The following is a 5,404-nucleotide window of genomic DNA, read 5'->3' on the forward strand; positions in this document are numbered from 1 at the left end:
GGATTACAGGTGTGAGCCACTGCACTGGGCCTTTTTTTTTTTTTTTTTTGAGATGAAGTCTCACTCTGTCACCCACGCTGGAGTGCAGTGGCAAAATCTTGGTTCATGCAACCTCCACCTCTTGGGTTCAAGCGATTCTCCTGCGTCAGCCTCCTGAGTAGCTGGGACTACAGGTGCGCGCCACCACACCCAGCCGATTGTTTAATATGTTCAGCAGCAAGCGCGTTTCACCGTATTGGCTAGGCTAGTCTCAAACTCCTGACCTTGTGATTTGCCTGCCTCGGCCTCCCAAAGTGCTGGGATTACAGGTGTGAGCCACCAGGCCCCGCCCTCTTTTCTTTTTTAATAGAGATGGGGTCCCTTTCTGTTGCCGAGGTTGGTCTCAAACTTCTGGGCTCAAGCGATCCACCCGCCTCAGCCTCACAAAGTGCTGAGATTACGGGTGTGAGCCACCGAGCCCAACCAAGTATTTTTTCGTGTTTTGTTTTTTTTAATCATGAATGGGTTTTGTATTTTGTCAAATGCTTTCTTTATGTCTTTTGAGATAATCATGTTTTCTTATTCTATTAGTAAAATATATTACATTGATTGATATTTGGATGTTAAACCAACCATGCATTTCTGGAATAAATTCCACTTGGTCATGGTATAATTTTTTGTATATGTTGCTGGAATTGGTTTGCTAGTGTTTTGTTGTTGTCTGAGACAGGGTCTCACTCTGTTGTTCAGGCTGAAGTGCAGTGGTGCAATCATAGCTGACTGCAGCTTTGAACTCCTGGGCTCAAGCGATCCTTCCTGCCTCAGCCTCCCAAGTAGCTGGGACTACAAGTGTGGCCGCCATGCCCAACTAATTAAAAAAAATTTTTTTTTTCTAGACACAAGATCTGTTGCCCAGGCTGGTCTTGAACCCCTGGGCTCAAGCAATCCTCCAGCCTCAGCCTCCCAAAGCACTGGGATTACAGGTGTGAGCCACTCAACCTGGCCACTTTCCTGGTATTTTGCTGAGGATTTTTGCATCCATATTGATAAGAGATATTAGTCTATAGTTTTCTTTGAGATGGAGTCTAGCTCTGTTGCCCAGGCTGGAGTGCAATGGCACAATCTTAGTTCACTGTAACCTCCACCTCCCAGGTACAAGAGATTCTCCTGCCTCAGCCTCCCTAGTAGCTGAGATTACAGGTGGGTCACCATGTTCTGCTAATTTTTTTGTATTTTTAGTAGAGATGGGATTTCATAATGTTGGCCAAGCTGGTCTCGAACTCCTGACCTCAAGTCCCAAAGTGCTGGATTACAGGCATGGGCCACCATGCTTCACCTTGAGTAGATTTAAATTGATTGGTTTTTATTTTTCTTAGGGGTCATGTTTTCCTGTCTCTTTGTATACATGCTAATTTCTGTTGGATGTCAGACACTGCCAATTTTACTTTGTTAGGTACTGGATTTTTTTTCTTTTCTTTCTTTATTTAAAATTTTTTCTTTTTAATTTCTTGTAATACTCTCCTATCCAATGGAGATTTTGTTTGTTTGTTTGTTTGTTTTCAGACGAAGTCTCACTCTGTTGCCCAGGCTGGAGTGCAGTGGCGCAATCTCAGCTCACAGCAACCTCTGCCTCCCAAGTTCAAGCGATTCTTCTGCCTCAGCCTCCTGAGTAGCTGAGACTACAGGCACACACCACCACGCCCAGCTAATTTTTGTATTTTTAGTAGAGATGGGGTTTCACCATATTGGCCAGGCTGGTCTCGAACTCCTGACCCTGTGATCTGCTTGCCTTGGTCTCCCAAAGTGCTGGGATTACAGGCATGAGCAACCGCGCCCGGCTGATTCTTTTTTTATATATACTTTTTTTTTTTTTTTTACTTTTTTTTTTTTTTATTGATCATTCTTGGGTGTTTCTCACAGAGGGGGATTTGGCAGGGTCATAGGACAATAGTGGAGGGAAGGTCAGCAGATAAACAAGTGAACAAAGGTCTCTGGTTTTCCTAGGCAGAGGACCCTGAGGCCTTCCGCAGTGTTTGTGTCCCTGGGTACTTGAGATTAGGGAGTGGTGATGACTCTTAGAGCATGCTGCCCTCAAGCATCTGTTTAACAAAGCACATCTTGCACTGCCCTTAATCCATTTAACCCTGAGTGGACACAGCACATGTTTCAGAGAGCACAGGGTTGGGGGGTAAGGTCACAGATCAACAGGATCCCAAGGCAGAAGACTTTTTCTTAGTACAGAACAAAATGAAAAGTCTCCCATGTCTACTCCTTTCCACACAGACACGGCAACCATCCGATTTCTCAATCTTTTCCCCACCTTTCCCCGCTTTCTATTCCACAAAACCACCATTGTCATCATGGCCCGTTCTCAATGAGCTGTTGGGCACACCTCCCAGACGGGGTGGTGGCCGGGCAGAGGGGCTCCTCACTTCCCAGTAGGGGCGGCCGGGCAGAGGAGCCCCTCACCTCCCGGACGGCGTGGCTGGCCGGGTGGGGGGCTGACCTCCCCACCTCCCTCCCGGACGGGGCGGCTGGCCGGGCGGGGGGCTGATCCCCACCTCCCTCCTGGACGGGGTGGCTGGCCTGGCGGGGGCTGACCCCCACCTCCCTCCCGGACGGGGCGGCTGCCGGGCGGAGACGCTCCTCACTTCCCAGACGGGGTGGCTGCCGGGCGGAGGGGCTCCTCAATTCTCAGATGGGGCGGCTGCCGGGCGGAGGGGCTCCTCACTTCTCAGATGGGGCGGCTGCCAGGCGGAGGGTCTCCTCCCTTCTCAGACGGGGTGGCTGGGCAGAGACGCTCCTCACCTCCCAGACGGGGTCGCGGCCGGGCAGAGGCGCTCCTCACATCCCAGACGGGGCGGCGGGGCAAAGGCGCTCCCCACATCTCAGACGATGGGTGGCCGGGCAGAGACGCTCCTCACTTCCTAGATGGGATGGCGGCCGGGAAGAGGCGCTCCTCACTTCCTAGATGGGATGGCGGCCCAGCAGAGACGCTCCTCACTTTCCAGACTGGGCAGCCAGGCAGAGGGGCTCCTCACATCCCAGACGATGGGCGGCCAGGCAGAGACGCTCCTCACTTCCTAGACGGGGTGGCGGCCGGGCAGAGGCTGCACTCTGGGCACTTTGGGAGGCCAAGGCAGGCGGCTGGGAGGTGGAGGTTGTAGCAAGCCGAGATCACGCCACTGCACTTCAGCCTGGGCACCATTGAGCACTGAGTGAACCAGACACCGTCTGCAATCCCGGCACCTCCGGAGGCTGAGGCTGGCGGATCACTCGCGGTTAGGAGCTGGAGACCAGCCTGGCCAACACAGCGAAACCACGTCTCCACCAAAAAAATACGAAAACCAGTCAGGCGTGGCGGCGCGCGCCTGCAATCGCAGGCACTCGGCAGGCTGAGGCAGGAGAATCAGGCAGGGAGGTTGCAGTGAGCCGAGATGGCAGCAGTACAGTCCAGCTTCGGCTCGGCATCAGAGGGAGACCGTGGAAAGAGAGGGAGAGGGAGACCGTAGGGAGAGGGGGAGGGGGAGGGGGAGAGGGAGAGGTACATTTTTTTTTTTGAGACGGAGTTCCGCTCTTGTTGCCCTGGATGGAGTGCAATGGCGTGGGTCTCAGCTCACTGCAACTTCTGCCTCCCAGGTTCAAGCGATTCTCCTGCCTCAGCCTCCTAAGTACATGGGATTATAGGGGCCTGCCACCAAACCTGGCTAATTTTTGTATTTTTAGTAAAGACGGGGTTTCTCCATGTTGGCCAGGCTGGTCTCAAACTCCTAAACTAAGGTGATTTGCCTGCCTTGGCCTCCCAAAGTGCTGGGATCACAGGTGTGAGCCACCATGCCCGGCCAAATTATATTATTAATATAATGTTTTGGAGACAGGGCCTTGCTCTGTTACCAGGCTGGAGTGCAGTGGCATTATCATAGCTCACTGTAGCCTTGACCTCCTGGGCTCAAGTGATCCTCCTGCCTCAGCCTCCTAAATAGCTGGGACTTCAGGCACTTGCCACCTGTTTTACATTTGTTTACATTTACATTGTAAAACAGGCACATGCCTGCCTGTTTTACATTTGTTTTTGCAGAGACAGGGTCTCACTATGCTGCCCAGGCTGGTCTCAAATGATCCTTCCACCTTGGCCTCTGAAAGTGCTGGGATTACAAGTGTGAGTCACGGTGCCCGGCCCTGGAAATTTTCTTTAGGCAGCAAGGTGGGGCATTTGTAGGGTTTTCCTCATTTGTTTGCTGACTCTCTGGAATCACTATTTTTCATCTTATGGGTTTCAATGTCTTGAGAACCATGTTTCACATACTTTGGGGAGTATTTTAGTTGTTTTTAGGTGGGAATGTAAATCATCTTGTCTAGAAGCAGAAATCCTTACAATCATTTATTAATTTCTTTAGCTGGCATTTATTGAGGAAGAGCTTAGTGTGTGCCCACCTTCCATTTGTCTTACAACTCTCCAAACACTCCAAATTTTCCTGCCTTGGGGTCTTTGCACAATTTTTCCTTTGTCTAGAATGGTCTTTCTAGCTCTACTTTCCTCCCTCAGCTCAAAGGGGCCTTCTCTGACTACTCTATGTAAAGTGAATCACTCTCTTTTTAATTTCCCATCACATTTCTGCTTTATTTTACAGCTTCTTCTACTAGAATAGAGCCAGACTTTTTTTTTTACTTTTTTTTTTTTTTTTGAGACGGAGTCTCGCTGTGTCGCCCAGGCTGGAGTGCAGTGGCGATCTCTGCTCACTGCAAACTCCGCCTACCGGGTTCATGCCATTCTCCTGCCTCAGCCTCTAGAGTAGCTGGGACTACAGGCGCCCGCCACCACGCCCGGCTAATTTTTTGTATTTTTAGTAGTGATGGGGTTTCACTGTGCTAGCAAGGATGGTCTCAATCTCCTGACCTCGTGATCCACCTGCCTCAGCTTCCCAAAGTACTGGGATTACAGGTGTGAGCCACCGTACCCGACCTTTTTTTACTTTTTTAACCTTAAAATTTTTTTTTTCACGCTTGTAATCCCAGCACTTTGGGAGGCTGAGGCAGGTGGATCATGAGGTCAAGAGATCGAGGCCATCCTGGCCAACATGGTGAAACCCTGTCTCTACTAAGCACCACTGCACTCCAGCCTGGCAACAGAGTGAGACTGTGTCTCAAAAAAAAAAAATTTAGAGATAGGATCTCACTATGTTGTCCAGGCTGGGCTCAAACTCTTGGGCTCAAGGGATCCTCCCATCTAGGCCTCCCAAAGTGCTGGGATTACAGGCGTGAGCCACCGCGCCTGGCCAGGCAGGAATTTTTGTGATTCTCTGGAACCAGCTCAGGGCCAGGCACACTGTTAAGTGTTCAATAAATATTTACTGAATGAATAAATGAGGTCTTTGCATACTTCATGGTGCCTGTCACATAATAGAGCTCAGTCAAATTGCGGGTG

General features: G+C 50.5%; 1 annotated feature.

The window, feature by feature from the left end:
* Positions 2,693–3,595: an enhancer, noted in NCBI's record as "H3K27ac-H3K4me1 hESC enhancer chr15:65091461-65092363 (GRCh37/hg19 assembly coordinates)". NCBI's record gives its function as "activates a minimal SCP1, AML or CMV promoter by ChIP-STARR-seq in naive H9 embryonic stem cells {active_cell/tissue: H9 hESC(naive)}" and the evidence as "EXISTENCE:reporter gene assay evidence [ECO:0000049][PMID:30033119]".

Source organism: Homo sapiens, chromosome 15 (genome assembly GCF_000001405.40).
Source record: "Homo sapiens chromosome 15, GRCh38.p14 Primary Assembly".
Taxonomy (NCBI): domain Eukaryota; kingdom Metazoa; phylum Chordata; class Mammalia; order Primates; family Hominidae; genus Homo; species Homo sapiens.